This window comes from Homo sapiens, chromosome 6, assembly GCF_000001405.40.
Source record: "Homo sapiens chromosome 6, GRCh38.p14 Primary Assembly".
Lineage (NCBI taxonomy): Eukaryota > Metazoa > Chordata > Mammalia > Primates > Hominidae > Homo > Homo sapiens.
Window position 1 is genome coordinate 16,730,612 of NC_000006.12, and position 25,010 is coordinate 16,755,621.

General features: G+C 39.7%; 1 protein-coding gene across 7 annotated transcripts in view, besides 2 other annotated features; it reads right to left on the minus strand.

Annotated features, from left to right (window-relative positions):
• Positions 1 to 25,010, minus strand: part of ATXN1 (ataxin 1) — a 462,349-nt gene that overhangs the window by 431,500 nt on the left and 5,839 nt on the right. For 2 of the 7 annotated variants that reach the window (NM_001357857.2, NM_000332.4), the window contains exons 2-3: positions 23,432 to 23,480; positions 22,622 to 22,736 (exon numbers count right to left, since the gene is read on the minus strand). The gene's annotated coding sequence lies outside the window, so the exon portion shown is untranslated. Of the gene's footprint in view, positions 1 to 4,335; positions 9,308 to 22,621; positions 22,737 to 23,431; positions 23,481 to 25,010 lie in introns of those variants that run through there. The other 5 variants (NR_152111.3, NR_152113.3, NR_152114.3 and 2 more) reach the window with 4 other exon arrangements.
• Positions 16,560 to 16,704: an enhancer, noted in NCBI's record as "145 bp enhancer 207 fragment used in the MPRA reporter construct; PK_construct_125". NCBI's record gives its function as "activates an SV40 promoter by MPRA in HepG2 cells {active_cell/tissue: HepG2}" and the evidence as "EXISTENCE:reporter gene assay evidence [ECO:0000049][PMID:23512712]".
• Positions 16,626 to 16,639: a transcriptional cis regulatory region, noted in NCBI's record as "HNF1 motif; enhancer activity is reduced when this motif is scrambled". NCBI's record gives its function as "necessary for full MPRA enhancer 207 activity {active_cell/tissue: HepG2}" and the evidence as "EXISTENCE:site-directed mutagenesis evidence [ECO:0005528][PMID:23512712]".

Sequence of the window (25,010 nt, forward strand, 5' to 3'; positions counted from 1 at the left end):
TTCCTTAGGAACCATGTGTACCAAGACTTTTTAGGAATAGCACCCTGCCTGAAGATTGTATTCTTGCCCACTGTTCTTTCCTAACAAAATTTCCCTTCAAGTTCTCCTTTCGTTGTGAACTTCAGTTATTGCCTTTCCACTGGCTAAACACAACCACACATATCTTTCAAAAGCTAATTGAAGCATAAAGAAGTTAAACATGATTTATTCCAGGTCAAATTTCAAGTCAGTGGAAAAGCCATAAATACAGACCTTCCTCTTGCTGAGTGTTCTGGGTGCCGGGCCATGCTGCAGGGTGAAATTTTGACTTTTGATTGGTGTTTTCAAAATTCCTTTGTGTATTTAAAAGTAGCTCATATTGACAAGATAGAAGGAAGAAGCTTGGACAAATGTCATTAACGTTGCACAATTTCACATTCCTGGACCTATCACAGGTGCCACTGGTTATTAACATATGCATGTAAAACTCCCTGAAAGACACTGTATAACTGGCTCAAATGCCTACAAATGGAAGGAGGTTTAGTAGCCTAAAATATACTCTATTTTTCCCTTTAAGTGCAACTGAATCACAATCCACGAGAAGCAGTTTGTGCAAAAAAAAAATGCTCTGCATGTAAGAGCTACACTAAACTGCACTAGACCCCGTTCTAAGATAAGACCCGTATTAACAGAGCCAGGGAAGAATGAAAAGAAGATTCTGGGAGTGCAAGATGCATTCAGGGGAAAAAAACATCACAAGCACTGAGCTGCAATGAGAAATGAGGGCATCAGAGTCGTCATAAAAAAAAATCACAAGCATGTGCAGATTAGACAGATAACGAGAGAGGCTTTTTTTTTCTTTTCTTTTTTTTTTTTTTTTTTTTTTTTTTTTTAATAAAAACGGAGGTCATTCCTCTTGCTTTCAGGAGCTTGAAAAATAAACCAGAGCGACCAAGGGCTGCAAGGCTTTGACCTTCTGGTGAAGACAGCCTTTAGCAGGAGGAACCTAATCCCAGGAAGTTGTCTGTACTTTGCTTTCTGCTACCACACTAGAAGATTACTTGATCAAACAAATGGGCATTTTTCCCCATGATATCTCTGTATCATGAAAAAGTACATTTGTCATTTAATTTTTATCTAATTGTATTGCCGTTTCCTTCTCCGCCTCTTTCTCCCACCTACCCCCACCCCTCCTACACTGGCATTCTCTGTGGTCAAAGAATCTGTTTCAGTATTAGTGTTCAATATAGCAAATGTCAAGTAAACACTCTACACATTTCCTGTGCTATTTAAAGCACCCTAAGCAATTATTTGCTCTAAAGTATTAAACTGTAAATTTTCTTAGCTGGTGCCAATTCCTATAGTAATAGCTGTCACAGAAAAGTACTTTAGAGTACTCAAACACGGCTTTTAAACCGGCAACACTCATGCTACATTTGCCAAGACTTTTCTAGTTGTCATATTTTTATAGCATGTTTTTGAGACAATGGACTAACTGCAACAAAGTGTCATATGTAGCTCTTTTTTCATATTTGAAGCTTTATAGGCACACTGTAGTCTTTCAACATAATTTTTCTCCAAGCAAAAAGATGAGATAGAACATAAAAATAGGCAGACGCACATGGTCACACTTCAATCTCATCGTTATACTGCTTGGTGTTACAGGCCAGAATCATGACCATTGGAAAATATCACTCCGGCCGGGTGTGGTGGCTCACGCCTGTAATCCCAGCACTTTAGGAGGCCGAGGCAGGTGGATCACTTGAGGTCAGGAGTTTGAGACCAGCCTGGCCAACATGGTGAAACCCCGTCTCTACTGAAAATACAAAAATTAACCAGGCGTGCTAATGGGTGCCTGTAATTCCAGCTACTTTGGAGGCTGAGGCAGGAGAATTGCTTGAACTCAGGAGGCAGAGGTTGCAATAAGCCGAGATGGCACCACTCCACTCAAGTCTGGGTAACAGAGTGAGACTCCATCTCACACACACACAAAAAAAAATCACTCCATTTGATAAAGCTCCAAATCATAATAGCTGATAAAAGAGTCCCCCAACACTAGTTCTATAAAGGGTGCACACTGTATTTACACATACAAATGCATGCAGCACTTGAAAAATATTAAGCAACCAAAACATACATATGTAAATATGTGCAAAGACTAATATACTTCTACATGTATGCCCTTATTAAGTACTTTTATGTTTGACTAGATGTGCTTCTTTTGAAATCTTTTTAGCTTCATTACATGTTTTTGTAATTTCATGGAAGTAAATTAAAAGTAACATAGTTCTAAATCCTAAACAGCTAAGACTGCATTAAATTGCCACCTCCATCTACAGAATTGTATGGCCCTTGAAAAACTTCCATGGATGAGTGCAATTTGCAACCAAAACCAAAAGCCTCTTTACCTATTTTTTAAATGTAGTGAATTATTCAAACATATTTTCCAACCGATGAAAGAATTCTCTTATTCCTGCCATGCCGGGACCCATTCTGAGTTTTACACCCACCATACCAGGTATTACTACTTGCTGAAAGCCTGCATTAAAGCATTAAGGGACAACAACAAGGTTACATTATCTTAACATATTCCACTTAATGGTTTTTGATTGTGTTATGAAGTGCCCTCACATTGGTTCCCAAAAATGTTTGCTATTTTAAGAGCCACACTATTAAGAACCACAAGTCAGCCAGGCACGGCAGCTCATGTCTGTAATCCCAACACTTTGGGAGGCCGAGGCGGGAGGATGGCTTGAGGCCAAGAGTTCGAGACAAGCTTTGGCAACATAGCAAGACCCTGTCTCTACAAAAAAATTTTAAAAATTAGTTGGGTGTGGTGGTGCACAGCGGCAGTCCCAGCTAATCGGGAGGCTGAGGTAGGAGGATCACTTGAGCCCAAGGGTTCAAGGCTGCAGTAAAGCTGTGATCATGCCACTGCACTCCAGTTCGGACAACAGACTGAGAACTGACCTCTTGGAAAAAAAAAAGAAACAGGCCAGGCATGGTGGTTCACACCTATAATCCCGGTACTTTGGGAGGCCGAGGTCGGGAGTTCAAGACCAGCTTGACCAACATGGAGAAACCCCATCTTGACTAAAAATACAAAATTAGCTGGGTGTGGTGGCATATGCCTGTAATCCCAGCTACTTGGGAGGCTGAGGCAGGAGAATCACTTGAATCCGGGAGGGAGAGGTTACAGTGAGCCAAGATCGTGCCATTGCACTCCAGCCTGGGCAACAAGAGCAAAACTCCATCTCAAATGAAAAAGAACCACTGGCTGGGTGGAGTGGCTCATGCCTGTAATCTCAGCACTTTGGGAGGCCAAGGTAGGTGGATTTCTTGTGGTCAGGAGTTCAAAACCAGCCTGGCCAACATGGTGAAACCCCAGCCACTCCGGAGGCTGACGCAGGAGAATCGCTTGAACCCAAGAGGCGGAGATTGCAGTGAGCCAAGATCTCACCACTGCACTCCAGCCTAGGCAACCGACAGAGTGAGACCCCATATAAAAAAAAAATGTCTATAGACTATAGAGTTAAGATTTGTGAATTATAACCTGACAAGCTTGTGAGAGATCTGTTGGCACAGTCATATGAAATCATCCTTCTCAGGTGTTCTGTTTGCTACAAAACATAGCATGCTTTACTTGGAAGGGCATGCCTCATTTGAGTGAGGCAAAAATATTGTCATCTCACCAAGAATTCCCAACACTAGTCATGACACTGGGCATCCCCGCAAGGAACGCTCGCCTTCACTTTTTAAAGGTTTGTTCTGACCCAGTTCTTCTTTGTTCTCCATGATGGTGCGAGAAAAGAAGGAAGAAGGATGAGAGATGAAAAAGTAGGGAAAAAAGAAGAGAAAAAGGAGAGAAAACAAACAGTGATCTGGCTGGTGTGCATTTTTGTGTACTTTCGTGAAAAATATATGTATACTTTTTTGAGATGGAGTCTCACTCTGTCGCTCAGGCTGGAGTGTAGTGGTGCAATCTCAGCTCACTGCAGCCTCGACCTCCCAGGTTCAAGCAATTCTCCTGCCTCAGCCTCCTGAGTAGCGGGGACCACAGGCGTGTGCTAATTTTTGTATTTTAGTAAAGACAGGATTTTACCATGTTGGTCAGGCTGGTCTCGAACTATGGACCTCAAATAATCCACCTGCCTTGGCCTCTCAAAGTGCTGGGATTACAGACGTGAGCCACCGTGCCTAGTCTTAAAAATATTTTAAAACGTCATGTTTCTATAGTGGTTCCTTCTGAGGTGGGAAGAATGTGACAAGATTGGGGAGGTCCACATAGAGGACATCCAGTTGATGGTAATTTTAAAATATGGGTGTAGAGTTAAAGGAGTGTTCACTGAACCCTTATTTTTTATAATTTACATTTATTTTGTGAATATACTTTTGTATTTCTATTTTACTGTATTTTATTTTATATTTAGTAAAAACAATTTTTGAACATAATTTTGCAAGTTCTACAATGACACAGGTGGTAGGCAATAGAGTATAATTAGTTAAAAGCACAGGGTCTAAGGTTAAAATGGCATGCATGAAGCCCAGTCCCACCACTTACTAGCTCTGTGACCTTGGGCAAGCTACTAACCCGGTTACCTCATCTGTAAGGTGGAGATAATAATGACCTATGTAGGTTTACTGTGAGGATTAAGTGATTAGTACAGTGACTGACACATCCTAAATCCTCAATATGCCAGCCAGCCATTATTATTGTTAGAAGAACAGGCTCCCTGCATTGTGGGCTTTTCTGAGTGTGTACACTCCCTCCTTGTGTTTCTGATCGCAAATAAATATTTATTAACAATGATTTATTGAATAAAACTATCAGCAATCAAGTTCCACTTTTTTAAGAGCCACTCCGTGTGTCACTAGAAGATGCCCAAATGAATGGAGGAAACAAATCTAATGGTTTATAAGAAAAGTGTGAAGAATCTGAATATCCAGGAACCCTTTCAGGGAAGCCTCATTAATATTAACTGCTATATATAAGAGAAGACCAAAATTCTGTCTCGGGGTACAGACAAAATCCAGCAGTAATTTAAAGTATGAAGATATCTACCACTCACCTGTAGGTGTACTCAGAGTTCACAAAATACATTAAGTCCTAATATCTTACATTGACAAAGAATAATCATTAGGAAGATCCACTTAACTCTTTTTAAAAGGTTGCAGTGAGCTGAGATCGTGCCATTGCACTCCAGCCCAGGCAACAGTGCGAGACTCCATCTCAAAAAAGAAAAAAAAACTGTCCCTCAAATAATACAAAAAAAGCATCAAAGAGTAATCAAAGATTAATCTGTTTGAAACCATGGGCCACAACTTATTCCGCATTATTTTTCCCTGCTAGCATAGTACTCTGCATATAGTAGGCTGAGAAAAAATAGAATTAAATTGAATGCAAAATGAGATTAGACAAAAAGATGTTTAAAGACCCTTCTGATTTAAATTTCATGAATTACAAACTGCCTAAATACTCAAACTGTTATTGATTATAGCTGATATTCATGGCTAAACTCCAGAATTCACTGATACATTAATAATGAAATGTATTCCTCTCTCCTTAATTTCACTTAATGTGAGCATGTTCAATCTACAGCTTTGATTTCAGTGTTTAATTTTATTATCAAAGTATTAAGAATATGCCTACCTGGTAAGTTTTTAGAAACATAAAGGAACTGACAACTTTGGGAAATATATACGTTCTGAAAGAACGAAATTAAGGCATTTGCTTTGTGTTCTTTCTTTAACAGTTCCTAATCTCCCTTCAGTGTATTTATTGGGCATTAGTTGTTATCTAACACAACAGTTCTCCTAGTAGAATGAAATCAACCTTAAAATAAAGAGCTTTTCAGGAGTAAAAAGAGGCTGTTACAAAAGAAAAATGCTAGAGGGGAATTATCTTTATATCACATAGTAATTTACATCTTAGAAACTTAAAGTTGTATCATAGCTGTACAATTAGCCAAAACTGAATATATTTTATGAGATACTGATTACTCACAAGAACAAAGGGAAATCCAATTGAAGGATTAAATTCCTGTCAAAACCAGTCACTCATGTGTCTGCACGTATATCGCAAAGTGTTTGTGAATTTGATGCATATTCCAGGTATAAATCCCCTTTCCAGAGAGCAGAAATTCCTAATCTGCCACACTTCAAACTGAAATAGATTCATCAGCATTTCGGGTACATACGAACAGCTCCCCAAAGCCATTAGCAAAGGTTATTTGTAAGTGGAAAATCAAGAGACATAAAGATTTCAAAGTCAAAATGCAATGTTATTTAGTTTTCTGCAGCACATAACAAGGCAAAAACTTTCAGTCAGAGAGAAAAGCAAAAGCAAGATCATTGCTCCTTCACAGAGACTGGTAAATAAAGAATGTATGCACAAAACACCTGGATTTGCTTTCCTGTTTCCTTGCCAGTAACTTTTTTTATATGATTATCTAACAGTCAAACAAACCTTCAAAGCAATGAATTACGCATAGACACACAGACACACTCTCACACAAAAGAGAGCAAAGCTGATGCTATTTAAATATCGTGAAATATTTTCCTAACCATGCACAGATGGAAGTACAGACGTTTCTGCCAACCGCCTGGTTCAGAAACTTTGCTCTATTTTTAATTATTTGGTTCAGAGGACCCATTTGTGATTAACTTCTGTGTTGCATGGCAAAGGAAGTAAAGTTCCTGACCCACAGCAAAGAACACAGAAAGAAGCTTAATTATTTTTAAACAGCTAGTGTAATATTGTAAACCATGTGTAGAGACAACTAATTTGTCAAAGACCAGTTGATGACTGTTGCAGTTTGAAGCTGTAGGGTGTATGAAGAACAGAAAAATCCAAGGGAACTTTAGTAAGTGATGCCAAAATGAATCTCATAATGACAAATAGATTTTCATCTCTGAGAAATAACAATGGAGCAAGAAATAGAGAGGAAGAAATTAATAGTGTTGTAAGGCCTAATCTCATTAGCAGGAGAAGTTTCAGTTTTGACTAGGAGCAGTGAATGGAATGCCAGCAGCCTTAAGCACAGGAAATGGACTCAGATGCAAGAAGTTGGTCAGGAAACTCCAGCCATAATATTCAGAATAACACACTAGAATTTTAGCTGAGCAAGATGAAATCCCAGAAGAGAAGTAGAAAGAGAAGCGATGGTTCAGCAATAAGACAGAAAAGATGGTCAAGGTATAAACAATGAACAGGTTGGAACTGTTTGGAACTGTTTTATATTTTTAAGTGCTGTGCATTTACAAAACAAAAAAAAAAGTAGTTTCTAAGTAAGAAAACAATAAACCCAAGTAGCAAATTAGTTATAAACACAGAAAGAAAACAAAATAGACGGCATCCAGTTAAGAATTTTGAAAGCAGAATAGGGCTAAAACCTAACAGAACTTTATTCCTCGAGAAGCTTTCTCTTGATCAATAGCCCTAAAATTTTAAGACATTCTGTATTTAAGTCCTTAATGTACTTGGAAAACCTCAGAGTCTACTGAATCATACAGGCCACGAAGAGCCAAAATATTTCAGGAGTAATAGATGTTGCTAAAAATTACATTTGCAGCGAATCCAGGACCAATGCCAGAATGATCTGGGAATTTAAAAAACAAAACAAAACAATAAACACCTAATTTCTCCTTGAGGAGAGTAGAAATGGAGAATAAAAACAGAACTTCCTTTGCTGGGGGCTCTCAATTCTGAAGCTCAGTTCCTTAAACCGCTAACACTGGCTATTAGCTTTCAGCTGGGCTGGTTGACATGGCAAGACCCTTAGAAGGGCACATCCATATTTGTGGGTAATTATGGAATTTCAACAATTGGAAGCAACTCAGGGAGCCATCATGAGGAGAAGAAAAAAGGTAATCTGTTTCAGAAAGTCCAAAATAAAGTGACTTTATTATATACATATTCATATTCCTCCTCTATTATGCAAATAGGTGAAGTATGTGTATGGGTGTGTGTATTGGCAAAAGACTAGAATTTTAAAAAACCAGGATTTTAAAAAAAGCACATCTATGACTGAATTATTTATAGTTGCAAATGGCTTCATAATACCAACCTAGTATTATTACTGCAGGCACTGGCCCTGGCTTAGAAATGTTATTTCATTTAGAAATGTTTCTATTTGTTGTAACACTAGCCACTGTGATGGGGTTTGACCCGTGTCTTTGTCCATAAAACAACCCTATAAGATATGTAAACATGAATTCAATTTTCTTTAAGTGAAAGAAAGCAAAAATATGGTTGTCAGAACAAGAACTGCTTTCTGTGGGATATTCTAGTTAAATGAAAGCTATTCAACTTGAATCAATTGCTGTATCCATTCTCCAATACACAGCAGATTTATATTTCAGAAGGTTTTTGACAGAGAACAAAATGTTACTGAAATATCTCTTCCATTCCTTTTGTCCTACATAACATTCCATGGGCTGAACTCCCAACGAGGGGCATATATTTGTCAGCTTCTGTTTGCACTTGTTCTATTGTAGTTTGTCTTTGTTGCAAATTTTCCATTTTGACCCTTTCCTGACAAAACATTAATATATACATTTTGGTTGTGTTACGACTTGTTAAAAAAAAAAAAAAAAAAAACCCTGACATTTTTATTCTGTACCACCTTGAAGCACCCATAACTTTTTAAAATAAGCCCTGCTATTTAAATCAGTGATCAAATTTTTTTTGTATCTGCTTATGTAAACACTAGAAATCCAGGGAGAAAATTCTTCCAATCCAACAATCCACACATTCCTACACAAAACCAATCACTTGAGTATTTAAAAGCTAGATCTGTGGCGAGAGACAGGCTAGAACTAGCACAAACAAGTCTGTGCAAGATGAATTTATCCTCCACTGCCTCTACTCCAGGTCATCCCAGGACTATGCCTGTGAGCTAATGCCAAGATGGAAAAAAAATGGATGGGTGCCTTTTTTCTAGTGTATTTGTGTAAAGACTCCCCAAGAGCTCAAGAGGGAGTTGCTGCTCTGCAAATGACAAAAGGTGTGTAGCTGCAAGCCAATCAGGCAGAACATTTAACATCGTCCTGGCCATTAATGACTAAGCCTGCGCCAGCTCAAAAGCGGTCGGAAACAGACGTCAGACTATGGGACAGCTAAAACATTGATTCTCAGGGATGTCGTCCAAGAGGAGGTCTCTGAAGCTGGGTGTCATCCTTTAGGGTGGCCCAGAATAAAATGGTGACACATTATGCCTCCTGGCGAGTTCATAAACACTTTGAACGGCAAAGACACCAAGTCCCGGGGACTTCCAACGAAGATCTTGGGGCAAGAAGAGATGTCCACCAGCACTTTCTGTTCTGTGACCTGTTAGAGAGAAACATTCTTAGCTACTCCATCACCAAGCAAAAGTCCCTGCCAGGCTGTATCTCCTTGACTCCTGGGGGAAAAGCTGTAAAGAGATTGAGGAGGGCACCTAAGAGAGAGATAGATGGCCTTTGTCTTGTTTGCAGTTTCACTAATGAGGTTTCCAGATATAAAATCTGGCTTCTGTCAAGTCTAAATGTGAATCAGATTCTGAGTATTTCTGCAACTAACAATATGGTCACCAGCAAACTACTTCTGCAAAGAAAGAAAAGGCTTCATAATAGTTATTGCTTCTGGCACCAAGAGATGGACAGTGTATTTTACTAAAAGATTAGCCACTAGATGTTGTAACAGTAGATACTTAATTATTGGGGAAGTAACTCATGGTTTTTGCAGATACAAATGTCCAGCACCAGCTCCTTCTTGCCTAGCAGAATAAAGCTGATTCACAGGTGGCTGGAAGAGCTTCTTCTAATCTCTTCTGTAACATCTAGTAGAAAGACAGCAGATACCTACACAGAGAAATGATCTGATTGTACAATCTTCCCATCCACAAGGACTTCTCAGAGCAGATGACATTAAATTTCAAGATTCCATATATGAGATCAATTTGATTTCCTGATGTTTTCAACCTTGCTGTCATGGGTGCATTAAAGGAAATACACCTCAAAAAGCTCAACTTTAAAGGTGCAGTGGCTGCAAAATGAAAATCATTCTCTGTTTATCCATCAAGTTTAGGCTCCGGCACTATAAAAACATCTAACATATAATTTTTTATTTATTTATTTATTTTTTTTAGAGACAGGGTCTCACTCTGTGGCCCAGGCTGGTCTTGAACTCCTAGCCTCAGGCGATCCCACCGCCTTGGCCTCCCAAAGCACTGGGATTCGAGGCATGAGCCACCATGCCCAGCCTCTAACATCTAAATTTATAATGAAGCACTGTTTCAAGGGGTAACTGGGAATTGCACATACCCAAGGGATTGGACTCTTGCATTTCTTCACCATTCCAGCTCCATCTCAATATTGTTCTAGGGGGCTAACTCAGTTAAGCAAAGACATGTCTTTTCATCCTACAACTTCGGAAACGCAAATAATTTCTGGGGTATCTTGGCTGTACAAGGAGATGGAGAAGAGAGCTGAACTACAAGTCAGAAAATCAGGTTTACAGCACAGGCTACATGTATTTCTAACCACTGGAATCTAGTAAATCAGTCAACCTCGTAGGTTCTGTTTTCTCCCCTAGAAAATGAGGGTACTTTTCTACTCAAGCAGTCATTATGACTATCCACTGAAACAATTTATCTAAGGCACTCTGAATTCTGTGATGTGCTATTATCAGCTGAGGCAGACTCATGACACATTAACCACTGCACATGGTCTGGATAACTGTGGTTTTAAAGGCTGTAGTTACTAAATCAGAGGCTCAGACTGCAGAATACCATCAAGAGAAAGGGTACTTTTGACTAGTCCTACAAGAGAAACAGGAAACACAGGACTTTCCTCCCAGTATACTCTTTGAAGACCCTGGACATTTAAAATGAGAAAGTTTTAAGAACACTTTTTTTAAAGGAAGTCTCATTTCTTGAGACTTCAGGGCAAAAAGTTAAATTAAGTGCACCCTTCAGAGACAGAAACTTTGCGATTTCAGGTCACCGAATGTTCTCTGTACAGCAGGACAGCCAACAGCTGTGTTTGGTCATTTACACATATTAAAAAACCCTCCCTCCAGGACTTAAAGATGATATGAACTGTGTCATGGAGTTTAGTCTGAGGAAGGCTCATATACTACTGGTGAGACCCACATTTCAAGGTCCTACTCAGAAAGACGTTTCTTCATTTTAATGTTGTTTATTACTCACATTCTGCTAATCACTAGGATGACTGAAACAGCTTTGCAGCTCGCTGGGAGGAAAATTAAAGAAAGTAGTCTTCCTCCTTTTATATCTGTTTACACAGATTGTTAAAATAGTACGGTTCATTTGGACGATGTTGAGATGGAAAAAAAATATAACTTGTTCCTTCTGAAGAGTAGAGAAAGGTTCAAGGGGTTACAGAGGCTTAAACAGAACAGGAAAGCCAAAATAAAACACCGAAATTTGGGCTTAGATGCCATCACCATATTTCCTTCAAACTCAATAGAAAGCAAAGTTGTATGGAAAGAGATTTTTAAATAAATAACCATGGCATTTTTTTCTTCTGTCAATACAATAATAAACTTGTCTTATGGGTCTATGACCACTTACAAAAGAAAAAAAAAATCCAAATCAAACCAAACAAAACTGCTATCTTTTGAAAAGTATCAGATCAGACACCAGAAAGGCAGCAGCTGGGGAACACATTCTTTCCCACTTCCTTAGATGAAGGCTGTCTCCCAATAAAAGCCACAACTTGGGGTCATACTTCTCTCTAGTCTGGGTTGCAGTGACCCAGGCAGCTCCAGAGGTGAACTGGACACAGAGCCTGGAAAAGGGGAAGAATAATCAAAACAAAATTCATCCAGAGTCATTTCTGCCTCCCCTTGGAACCTGCCAGGGCAGGGCAAGGTTAAAAGGGCCTTAGGGTACTCTCCTCTGGGGGTGCTGCAGCGGTCAAAGGACCCAGGGCTTCAGTTTCCAATGGGAGGCATTTCCATACCTGTCAGAATCTCTTAACAGGTTCTGACATATGGTCCAACATATGGTCGCTCACACCATCAACCACAAATGCACTCCCTCCACCTGGAGAAGGCGTCCTCACCTACCACCAACAGTGCAACTTCGAGATGAAGTCATTTACAACCCAGAGGAGATGGATGGTCACCCGGCCGGCCAACTCAAAAGGGCACAGATAAGATTAGATGGACCTCCTACCCCACCGGTTTCATACTTGACGAGCAGGGTTTGCAGAAGAAGGTTTCATGGTCACCCTACCCCTTTAAGCAGTTCTCCTTTCCATGTGGTACCTTAACCTAAATCTAACCAACCAACCTCACTTAGAACTTCAGAACTACTCTCTTCCAGATAAAAGTATCTCCTTGGGATAACTATCTCACTAGAAACTTTCACCTGAGTTGCAGAGTATGACCACGAGAGCACTTAAAGGAGACTGATCAAAGTCAGAAAACAGATGTTAAGAACGTGAACCTCAAATTCATTTATTCATTCGATGCAATAGCTGCATTTCTAAAAATCTTCATATAATCGAAATTCAGTAGGAATTTTTTCAATGAGGAGGAAGACAGTCTTAGACGTTCAAAAACAAAAGCATTTTTCCTGTATTGAATTTCAATAATAATAGTGTTTTGTGTGGTTATAAGTGCAGTACTATAAAACTTAAATATGATTGAGCGAATTCAGCACTCTATTACGTACAGCTTTCTTTCCAGAAAATTCATCATTGGACCTTTCTTTCTCCTTAGCACAGGCTTCTTACACATTTTTGTCACCTTTTCACTCACTGTGTGATGGACAAAGCACAAAGCCAGTGGAACAAACAGGTGCCATAGCTTTTTCCACCACTGTGGTTCACAGGACCCCATGCTGGTTCCTGACCACAATTATACACACCACAATTATATACATCACAGTCCATATTAATAGATGGAATCACATCCAATTTGTAACATAAGCATCACAGGGGGAATGCCCGTATGTATTGCCCATTCACTAGATGCCACATACTGGAAAGAGGGCAGTCCCTCCTATCGCTGGGCCAGGAAAGGGGTTGTGAAGTATTATACAAGGGGAAGAATGGGGTGCTATGGGAACCCAGAAAAGGTAGCAAATAACATAGTCCCTAGTCCAAGGGCTTCGTGAGGAAGAGACTCTAAGCTGAGATTTCAAGAATGAGGGAAAGGTAGCCAGACAGTGCAGAGAGAGGAGCTGGGTTCTAAGGAGGAAGAACAACATGTCTAAAGGCTGGAGCAAAAAACAGAGTATGGCACTTGAAGGAGGAAGTGCGATGGGACCGACGTGGGACGAATACAGGGCAACATGTGAGTGATGAGGCTGGAGAGATAAGGAAGGTCCTCAAAACCTATGGAGCCAGGCTAAGGATTCTAGACTTTATCCTGAGGACCATGAGAACCCAGGGAGGGAGTTAAGAAAAACAGAGATGTCAGCAGATTTCAAATACTAACAAATGTTCATTTTGGCTTCAAAGAGGAAAAACATGTTGGACCAGAACAACAATACATCTAGACAGGCCATTTAGGAGGTATATCATATGCCAAACCACCCCAGCTCAGCAGAGCCACTCAGCTAAAACTCACACTTTGAGACCAGCCTTCCTCAAAAAATTCAATCCCTAGGAAGTTGTTCCCAACCTTCCACTGGAAGAGCTATCCCCGGAGAAGAGCTACAACAGGAAAGGAATCAGGGTAGCATCGTGCCTCTCTGGTTCCTACATGGATGAAAACCAGCGCCAAGGAGCCCATTCCTTAGCAGGGCAGCCTGCTACGTAGCAGAAATGTAAGACAGAAGTTGTAAAGACCCCGACCCCAGAGACTTGGATAATGGTTAGACTTTGGCCAGGCCTGAGATTCCTGACTGATCTCTCTAGGCCCTAGTCAGGGAGGCTGCCAGACATGTTTCTACCCACTGCTCCCAGGACAGGGCTCCCTGAGAAACACACAGGTCAGCAACGGAGGGTTGAGAACTGGGCAGAGAGGATGCCACAGCCAGGAAACCGGCACAGGGTGGGTGAGAATCAAGGAGTGAGGGGCAGGTGGGAGAAGGGGAAAGGGGCCCTTGGAAATAGAAAGACTGGGACTTCAACAGGAAACAGTTCCCAAGGGGAAAAGTGAGCAGAAGAAAGAAAGAGCTATTCCCAGCAAAGCCATCCAGTGGACCACTCGCCAGCCTGGTGCAGAATTTGAGCTGCGGTAATCTCATTTATTCCTGCCAGGTTGGCCCTGGGTACAAGTAGAAGAAAAGAGAGGCTGATCATATAAAAACTTGAACCGTTGTACAACAAAAAGCATCATCACTGAAATGAAAGGACACTGGACTAGGGAAGTAGCTGTAGCAAATAGGACTTTTTAAATGGATTAATATCTAGAACATATAAAGAGCTCATATACATAGATTAGAAAACATCAAGACTTCCATTTGCTAATTGTAAAAAGAACAATTAGTAAATAAACACAGATGGAAATGTTCCATCTCTGAGAGGGATCAAAGGAATGAAAACTTTAAAACCAAAGAGCCTATTAAATTAGCCAAAAAATAGTAAGTCCCACAATTATTAAGATTGAAGCTAGAGACATTCTTATATCATTAGTAACAATGTAAATTGGTACAGCCTTTTAGAAAGCAATTCAGAGCAAGCTCCCTCTAACTTAGTATTGAGCCTTCTGATGTGAGTGTGTCCTCGGTAAATACTTGTGTGCAAAGACATTCGCTGCGGCTTTACAACAGTAAACAATTAGAAACAACTCGAATGTCCAAAAATGATAGGAAACTTAAAAATTAAGATAAAACAACCTGATAGAATGTTATGTGATCCTTGCAAATGAGAACTGTATAGCTGAAGTTACTAAGAATGTTTATGCTAAATGGGAAACACAAAACTGAAAAAAAGATATAAGTTACATCATCAAGAACTAAAAAACAACACATAAAAATGAACTTGATTTATGGACTGGAATGGTGGAATCAAAGGGAACTTTTGCTTTTATTGGCTTTCCTTTATTATTGTAAGGTTTGGGCAATACATGTTTAAAAACATGGTATTTTTATCAGTCATGTGTAGTAAACACTCTTTTCTGTAGAGCAGAGCTACCTGCGGAAAACGTCACTGCCAGGTTAGTGGAGGGTGCTTAGTCCTTCCCAAGAGCTACCTGCAGAAAACGTCACTGACAGGTTAGTGGAGGGTGCTTAGTCCTTCCCAAATTTCAAAGGTCCTTTTGAGATTCAAACTCTGCCTACTAAAACTGGCTGCTCTGAGAAGCTCCTCCTACCCTGACTATACCTCAAATGCAGCACTTTCCTTTGTTCTTGCTTTTTTTATTCAGCTCTTAAATGCTATGCCTTCCGTGTGTGTGTGTGTGTGTGTGTGTGTGTGTGTGTGTGTGTCTGTTTTTATTAGTTATTGAGATACTACCATAAGCAACATCTAGAGAGTGAGTGCACATTTAATCTTTCCAGTGATTCTGTGAGTTAGGTGATATTATCATCCCCATTCAACAGATGAGGAAATTGAGGATCACAGATTTAAGGAATGTGACCTGGACCACAAAGCCAGGAGCCAGAGCCAGAAGGATTCAAGCCTCAATCTCCCTGACTTTAAAGCCTTCATTTTCACCCTCCCTCTCTGTCTATGAAACAAATAAATTAAAACAACAAACCCTCTCAAATGTCACCTTTTCTATTTGCACTAGCTGCCTAAAGAAACTATTAATAATTGCAATGAATCAAGAGGCATCTGTATGAACTGCTTATGAATTAACCAAAAAGACAAGGCAATGCTGCACACACTAATTGGGAAAGTTGACGCAGAAGAGAAAAGGAATTACCTAGAGACTAAAACCTGCACCTGCAGGTAAAACCAAATGACATCAAAACGATTTCTACTTGCAAATTAAAAGCAGAATATGGCCCTTGATATTACTGCTTAGAAAAGCAGAGCTTCTGCACTCCTCTTGCAAAAAATAATCCCACAATCAGCTGAAAGATTCTTTCCAGTTATACTGCATTCCACCTCCAGAAATGGATGTTGTTTGGGACATGGTAGCAAGAACAGTAAAAAGGAGCGGAGGAAGTATTCAGGTATGAAACTAATATAGATGGGGTGATAAATGAATTTAGGCACCGCTTATGACTTACTCTATAAATAATGACATAATAATAGCTAAAATATAAATTCTAATTAAATACAAAATCTAACAAAGTCAAACAACAGCAAATGATGTTTGACAGAAGCAAAGGTCTTGGGGGAGCCGGGAGCAAGAATTACAATAAAATCTATTCATGGAACTGTACAATGTCAGAGATAGAAGAGTCCCGAGAGATCATTTCTTTCAACCTCCTTGTGTTTTGGAGACAGGAAAACTGAGACCCAGCAAGGTACAGTGAGTAGCACAAGTCATCCTGTTGCAGGGCAGGCAACAGAAACTGAGCCTCCAAACTACCAGTCCAACAGCACACCATACTCACTCTGTAGGGTCCTGGAAGACTACTCCATTTGAAACCATATTTTCAAAAGATCATTAAACATTCTATACATATTAAATTCCTTTTTAATAATTTTCTAATGCACAGGGGCACATTTTAAAAAGAAGCCTGGTTTTGATTTCTTTTGGAAAACTGCACGCTGCTCGGTGTTTAATCTGGTATTGAGTGAAATATTAACAGGCCATATAATGGTTTCACTGTTCCTTCAGTAAAGCTAAACAGAACTCGAAAAACATATCCCCCAGGCCTACAGTGGAGTTTCTGGAGCACACATTAAACTCCACGCTCTGCTCAACAAGCCCATCGCTGTTAAGTAACTCATCAGAAAATAAAGAGGGAATTACCAAAGGGGAATTGCCAAGCAATTAGTTCTCTGAAGCAGACGACATACAACTGTTACAGGGAGGAGCTTCCCGGTTAGTCATATGTCAGAGTCAGAGCCTACTAATCTGTAAATAAAAATGCATCACATATGATTACAGCTGTGATGTAGGCTGAAGCTGCCAGGCTAGGGCACGAATAGTAAATCTTGCATCCTCTTCTCGATTTCCGTGGGTCTGTAAAAGCAAGAGATGTTGCCTTGAAGACCAAAAAAAAAAAAAACAAAAGTCCTCAGTAATTTTTCACTCAGTGTAAGAAAGACAATCTGGCCTTCCCTAAGCCAGCTAAGAGAAAGTGATCTTTCTTCTCTATCATCTTGACATGAATGAGCTCAGATTCATTCACTGTTCTAGTGAAGGAGAGAAAATGAGACTGGGCGAGGCAGGGGCAGAGGGGATGTGAGTTCTAAGCTTCCTTATGGCCACCCTGACTAAAGCGTGACCTCCTTTTGCTGCACGTTTTATTCTTAGAGCTTGCGTTCAGCGCCACACCACCACCTATCACACTGGAGAGACAAATAGTTCATATCTGCCAAATCTTGCAAGCTGAGCAATGACCCAGTGAAGTTCTTTTAAGAGTCAAAAGTTCATCATCTCGCTGAGACTCTTGATGCTGAATAACATTTGGATCCAACTTAAGCCAATCCCCTGAAACGGATAAGCAAATTGCCACTGTCATCATTTTCTTCAATTAATAATTATTGAAAGTGCATAGGAATCTCAAGGAGATATGAGTAAGAGTGAAAGAAAGGGAGAAAACACCACAAAGCCTGCATGGGACAGCCTGTGTCAGAAAGCTCATATGTGACTGAACAGACAGGCAGGCATCAAAAGAGAAGGCTCCAAGGAAGGACCCTTCCTTGATCCTGACTTCCTAGACTGTGTTACCTGTGTCATGGCTCTTTAAATATTACTCCAAGCCATGCCTTGCCTTATGCACTCGACTGTAAGCTTCTTAAGGACAGGGCTTAAGGAACAGGGCTGAGAGTGTAGACTGGGATCCAAGCACGATTCTATCACTTAACAGCTGGGAAACCTTGGGGAAATTATTCACCCTCTCTGTGCCACAGTTTCCTCGCCTGTGCAATGGAGAAAATAATGATGCCTACCTCAAAGGACTGTAATGAGGATTCAATAAGTTAATATGCAGAATAGTAAATGTGAACTATTGATCATCTCCATATTCCCTAGAGGGCCTTGTTGGCATAATGCGTCTCATACATTAGATGCTCATTAAATAATTGCAGACAAGAACGATCTGCCCCTGGAGTTGTTTGCTCCATCCCTCTTGTTCCTGTCTTAACCTTCTTGTCTTTGATGAAAGTTAAATAAGTCACTGCTTTTATTCTGAGCCCTTTTGGGCTACACAGAGAGCCCATCCTAACTAACTCAGCACCAAAAAAAAAAACCACAACTTAATCCTCAAATTTTCTCTCATTACATTAAATCAGACTGCTCACTAACATCATCGTAACATCATCTCCAGCCTTCTCTTTCACTTTACATCAGGAAGTCTTAGACTAACTTTCTCCCCAGACCCAAGATTCACCAATTCTATATCTCTTTATTTTCTATAAAGTATAAATGGGAAGCCAAATTGTTCAAAGAGCTGTGTCTAGTAGCTAGGTATATACAGTATACACGCACGCACAAAAACACACACATCTCACATTTTAAAGAGTCTGCAGAAAGCCTCCAGGGAATCCTCTAAAGTTACAAAACACACCCAAATTAATGTGGTTTATCAAAGTACAGTAAATGAATTGCCACAAATGAACAATTGCTACAGAGTCAAGTAGATGGCACATTGTGATTTACGCATATCATGTGAGATGAATAAATCAACGGTAGAAAAGATCAAAGAAATGCTGGAATTGTTGTTAAAACGTACAGGGCTTCACTGAAAATCTTAATAAAACTGTTTAGAGGAAAATAGAAGGATCATTTGTTTAACGAGATACCGCATACGCTGAATTTCAAACGCAGCATTCATTTTTATACACACACACATTAGATTTAGCTAAAATTAGCTCAAGTTCCTATTTTTTTAAAGGTCTTAAAGGAAGAGAGGTTTTGACAAGATTTCATTGAACTGTAGTTCAGCACTGAGTTTCCAAGGTGCCTGAGCTGCAGAAGAGTCCTTATGGCCCACGCATACATCACCCAACTCCTCCAGCCACCCAGCCTCCTTCACCCCAGATCATGAAAAGAAGGCAGACGAAGGCCATGCCACATCAATGTTGAAGCTACTCTCCGCTGCCTCTTACCTTCTCTCTACACATTCTACACCAGCTGACGTCATCCCTGAATTCAGTCATCCCCCTCCTGGGTGTCAAACTTTTTGCCAGGCCCAAGAACCCAATTTCAAAGATCACTTTTATGCCAAGGACTCCTCCAAATTTATCTTCAGACTTGACCTCTCGGCAGTTTTATTCCCATACTCTCTACTGTCTGCTCGAATCCAGAAATTCAGATGTCCACCAGCACCTAGGCTTCAGTCAAAATGTCCTGGTCAGTTACATACCGTGCATTGGCTTGTTATGTCCCAGACACACACATGGCCTTCCTCATGCTCCATCCATCTCTTCCCACAGAAATGCAATCTAGTCAGCAGAGCTCAACTCAAGTGATCCCTCCTCCTCAAAGTCTTTCCTGATCACTCCTACTCAGCGTCACTCTTCTGAATTCCTTCACTGTTAGAACACTGTTAGAACCCCATTCTATTCGTATTCATTATTTCAGAGAGTTTCTTCTTTCCCCTGCCTGACCAGGAAGAAAATAACTGCCTTCCGGTAGCTCTTATTCACTTCCATTCCCACAGCACCATGCAGTAGTTTTAAAAAAATTCACAATGAATAAATGAATGAATCATTTCTTTACATAAATAGTGACTGTGAACAAGTTAGGTCATAACTTGCTATAGCTGTATCATATTTATAAAATAACTAGAACCAGAAAGAACTATAATGTAGGTTTAAGAAAAAAACTGAATGAATATAAAAGAGTACAACATGAATGATACTATTTTTCTGCCTACGTTGAGCCGTCAATCGTGAGGACTGTAATGAGGCCATTATTGATGCAAAATGTTTAGATAATGCTTATAAGCTTTCTTTAAATGCAATCATAGAAAATGTCAGCGCTTAAAATTCAAGGTGACTTTGCGCTACTTCGTCAGTATTTTAGTATTCATAAGACACTTAAACTTGCCTAACATATTATAAAAACCTAGGTCTCTTCTCAATAAGCTGCCCATATTGACCAAGAGATATGACTTTTTGCTGCCTGTTTTTTCACAATAAAATTCTTGAGATATTTCTGTTATCACAAATGACTCCCTTTCAACACCACAGGTTAAAAAAAATGCACGTGTACTCAACCCATTTGCAATTAAACTATTTCCCCAAAGATCTAAATGTGAGGATTTTCAGCCTAGCACATAACCGTTAAAATGAGTATCATCCCTAAGAGATAAAGTAGCAGTAAGACACTCTACCTTTTTCTTTTCTTTCCTCTCTTTTTTTTTTTTTTTTTTGAGATGGAGTCTCACTCTGTCGCCCAGGCTGGAGTGCAGTGGCGAGACCTGGGCTCACTGCAACCTCTGCCTCCAGGATTCAAGCGATTCTCCTGCCTCAGTGTCCCAAGTAGCTGGGATTACAGGAACCTGCCACAATGCCTGGCTAATTTTTATATTTTTAGTAGAGACAGGATTTCATCATGTTGGCCAGGCTGGTCTCAAACTCCTGACCTCAAGTGATTCACCCACCTCAGCCTCCCAAAGTGCTGGGATTAAAGGCATGAGCCACTGTGCCTGGCCCACCCTACCTTTTTCATTCAGCTGACACTTGTAGATCTTAAGAGGCTTACCTTTGCATGTAACTTTAGGTTACATTTCCACTTAAAGAACACCTCTCTAATCCACAGCCAATAAAATGTAAGGAATCCAGTTCCATATTTTACAAGAGTATCGTGTCTGTGATGACTCTTCCCTCCTCCACCTTGTCCCCCACTGGGACTTTTTTGGCTGTTTTTCCTGAGGCATAATACTTCAGTCACTCAGGTTTTTGTTTATTTTTACTCAGACCACAAATAACCACATTTATGCATGCAATTCATCAGTTCATTTTACAACAATCTAAAAAAAAAAAAACCACACATGCATCCCATCAGTCAGAGAGTTGTGATAAATTCAGAATTTAAAATTCAGCAAAAACAAATAAAAGGCTCCTTGGCTTTGCAGAGCCGTAGATGTCTACAGGGTGGGTCCAAAGACCAAGGTCCAGGTATATTTACATATTTCTAGTCATGTATGGTTCAGGAGCAACCATCATAAAACATGACCATAACAATCAACCTGTTGAGGGATAAGTTACTTGATAGCATCTGTTAAAAGATACAAACCATACACCAGGTACTATTCTACCCACAGTATATCTACTATTTTACTCCAGTCCATCCTCACAGCAGCCCTATAAGAAAGTTCTAATATTACCTCCATCTTATACATGAATAAACTGAGGCATTGAAAGGACATAGGACTACTCAAGGTCATAGTGGCAGCTCCAGATCTTAAGTCCAGATGGGTTGATTACGGAGCTCCATGCTCTTATCTAAGATGCCAGAGAATTTATATGTAACTTAAAAATTGGCTCTTACGGTAAAGAGGCAGCTCTTTCTTCAAAGAAATCTGGTCAATTATTGTTTAAATGAACCTGTTATAAAGCAAATATCCATCTACCTCTTGAAAAATGAGTTTTGAAAATTCAAATTTTCAAATGGGAGATTTGCTAAAAGTAGAATGAGCTTCTCACCAACTAAGTCTACAGAACATAACTTAGGAAGAGTTGCTGGAAGACCGGCCGACCCAGGGGTTCCCAAACCTGTGGAGCATCAGTGCCTAGACAGATCAATGATTCCAGCAGGAAACATTCTGATTCATCAAGTCTAGGGTGGAGCTCCAAATTCTATTTTTTTAAGCTCTCCAGGTGATTCTGTTGCCTAGCCAGGCTTGGGAACCTCTAATCTAGTCTGTCTTCACAGTTTCAAGCAGGTCCATTTCCAAGGCAAATAGAAATTGATCCCCTATTTTCTATTTCACAATCTCCCTTGGTTACATACACTCAAACCCTTGTGTTCCCAAGCCCTTACTGCCCCAAGTTCTAGCAAACCTCTTTTTCCTTCCTGATTTAATTTGAGGCAATATCCTCTGGCCCTTTCTTCAATAGAGAACCATGAGTCATCACCATTGCATACACCCTATGTCTGCATGACTCTCCAGGCCAGAAAAACTTACTGTACGTGGGAAAATCAGGAAGTTGTAAAATCCAAACAGACACAAAGAAATTCAAGATTCAACAAATACTGGTTCCCCTAAACAAATAGGTCTCTGTTTTGCTACGCACATATTATACTACAACAGTAATCTAAAATGCAAAAACTGTGACTTAAGATATCTGGTAGCATAGCATTCTTAATTGTATTAAGGAAAACTGACAATTAAAATGATGAGGTTCAAGCCCCAATTGGCAATTATCAATCATCGCAAAGTCAAATGAAAGTCTTCATGAACATATAGATTAAACCAAATAGATAGATACTTTAATCGAAGTTTTAAAAAACAATCTTGGCAATTTCTCAACTTCCCACACTATGCCCAAACAGAGTTTGCAAAGAAAATGATATTCAACAGCCAACAAAGTAAGGGAGCATGGCTAGGAGGCAATTTTCCAGGTCAGGACTTTATCCTCAGATGGAAAACAGAGAGCATCGCAAAACTCTCACCTGACATGTGATGCACTTCCCTGTAGTGGCAGTGGAGGAGGAGATTGCTGTACAAGGATGACAAACAAATCTGCAGCTTGAATGGACCACCCTGGTGACTTGATGCACGATGCTCCTGCAATGGTCGAGGGAGTGCAGGAGAGGAAATCCAAAATGAAAAACAGAATAGACTGCTTTAAAAAATAAGTCCACCTTAAGTGTCTATGCACCGAAATACAAATTTTAAGAACATCACATTCGGCATTCTGTTGTATGAGAATTACACAGATCCCAGCCAGCTCAAAAGGCAGGTCTGGTTTTACTCAACAAGGCTCAGAGGGAGGCCAACATACAAAAAGGTCATCCCTTCCATCAAATTAAGAGGATGGTCTCCCCATTTGAGCCAGCCGCTGTCATTCTTTTCTCCAATGATTCTAGCCAATCATCTGATAAACACATGCTGGTAACTACAAGGAGTATCAGGTGAAAATGGGCATGGATTGAATAGTAATTGAGCCAAAGCCTAATTTTAATGTGGCATATATTATCTATCAACATGCAACTTGAAACACAATGATGAAAGTGCACAGCTATTAGCATACCAGTCCAATGGAATAGAAGAAAGGAAAAAATGCAGAAAAAAAGTGTAAAGTGTGCATTTATATTCACTAAACTTTCCACTAAACTTTATTTAAATACTGAATGTACATCTCATTTTCATTTTGCCACAATTCCTTGCACATGGTTAAGTAAAAATTTTCCATTGTATGATGAATGAGTGAATGTGTGAATGGATGAATGAAAGAAAGAATGAATGAATCTTCCATATACCTTTCCATCAGGGAGCTTGGTGCTTGTAGTAGTTTTTGTGAGGTAAAACCTATGCATAGAAACGGAAGAAGTTGAGGACTCGATCTGCTAACGTATTTTTTTAGCCCTATCCATTAAAATTATATTCTTAAATACCGGTAATTACCAATTATCCACATTAAACAGAAAAAAAAATTTTTTTAAAATCAGTAGCAGGGTTACTATAAAATCATCCCCAAACTAGTGAATGCTGGACTGATTTTCAGTCTTTGATTACTGGAGCTGATCTGCACATTTGCTTAGGCTGATTTTAAACTTAGTTTGGGTTTCCTAAGCTCACGCCAGGTAACAGTAGGAAGAAGGAGGCCCAGGTTTATATTGGATGTCAGAAAGAAACTATTCTGGAGCTATGAATATGATCTCCAATGTGAATAATCCGTAAACAGGTAAGTGAGCCAATTATCCTTGGGTACATGGCAACACATCTCGGTACTCATGATTATTTTCATCCATACACACTCACTATTTTTAAGAGCACAGCCCAGCTGGAAAGGAAAATAACTTCCACTTCTTTCCAGCACTTTTCAAAGTAATGAACAGTAGCCAAAATGTTCTTACTTCTAACTAATCCATTCACCAAGCATTTATTTAAGCATTGATTGCCTGCCGAGGACTGATATGCAAAAGAAGGAATTCTTGTAGTCCTTGGTTTCCCCACATGTGATCTGTGCGTACAGAGAAGGAAGGTAAGCTGTTATACACTATAAGGTCTTTCAGATCTTTAGAAGGCACAGTCCCTCCACCAAGAAGCCTGTTGAGTTACAAATATAAATAATGGCCAAGTTAAGTAGAAGTTGACAAAATTCTATTTAATCTTAGTACTTCTTTAAGGATGAGGAAGCAGGGAGGGAGGATCATGATGTCATCTCAAATTAAGCATCAAAATACTTGATTCTCAAATGAGGTGCAGGTACCATAAATTTACAGACAGTGCTTTTTATGAGCTCACCAGTTGGGAGAGTGTTTGCCTATATGACAATGTGTGTGCACACAATCCTGTTTACATATCACCTGGCAGATAAGGTTTTATAGAGTCCAAGTTACAACCTCCTCCTAGTTTGCTGAAGTGCAGAGGAGGGTCAAACATGATGTAAATGCCATAGAAGATTACTTTACTCTTGCATGAGTATGCTTTCTTATTTCAAAAGTATTTGTGTTGCTGCACTAGTTAGGATAATACAGAGAGTTTACATAACTTGTATTCCATCAGAGGGAAGAAGGCAAGAATACAAGCAAGGCAGCACGTATTCACTGCAAAAACTTACAAAATAATATACCAGAAAATAATTTATAGGACATTTTATACAATAATATACACCAAAAATGGAATACTCAATATTTTTAAAACCCAGCAGAGCAACATAATACAATACTATTAATATTGGAAGATTAACAAGAAAGACGGCCTAAACAAAACTGAGGTAATGGTCAGTAAGTACCAGGAGATAATGTGAGAAAGGGGAACAAAATTAAGGGCACAAGAAAATAAAGTTTGCCATACACAGTGACAGAAAAATATATTTTCTTTGAACGTTAGAAG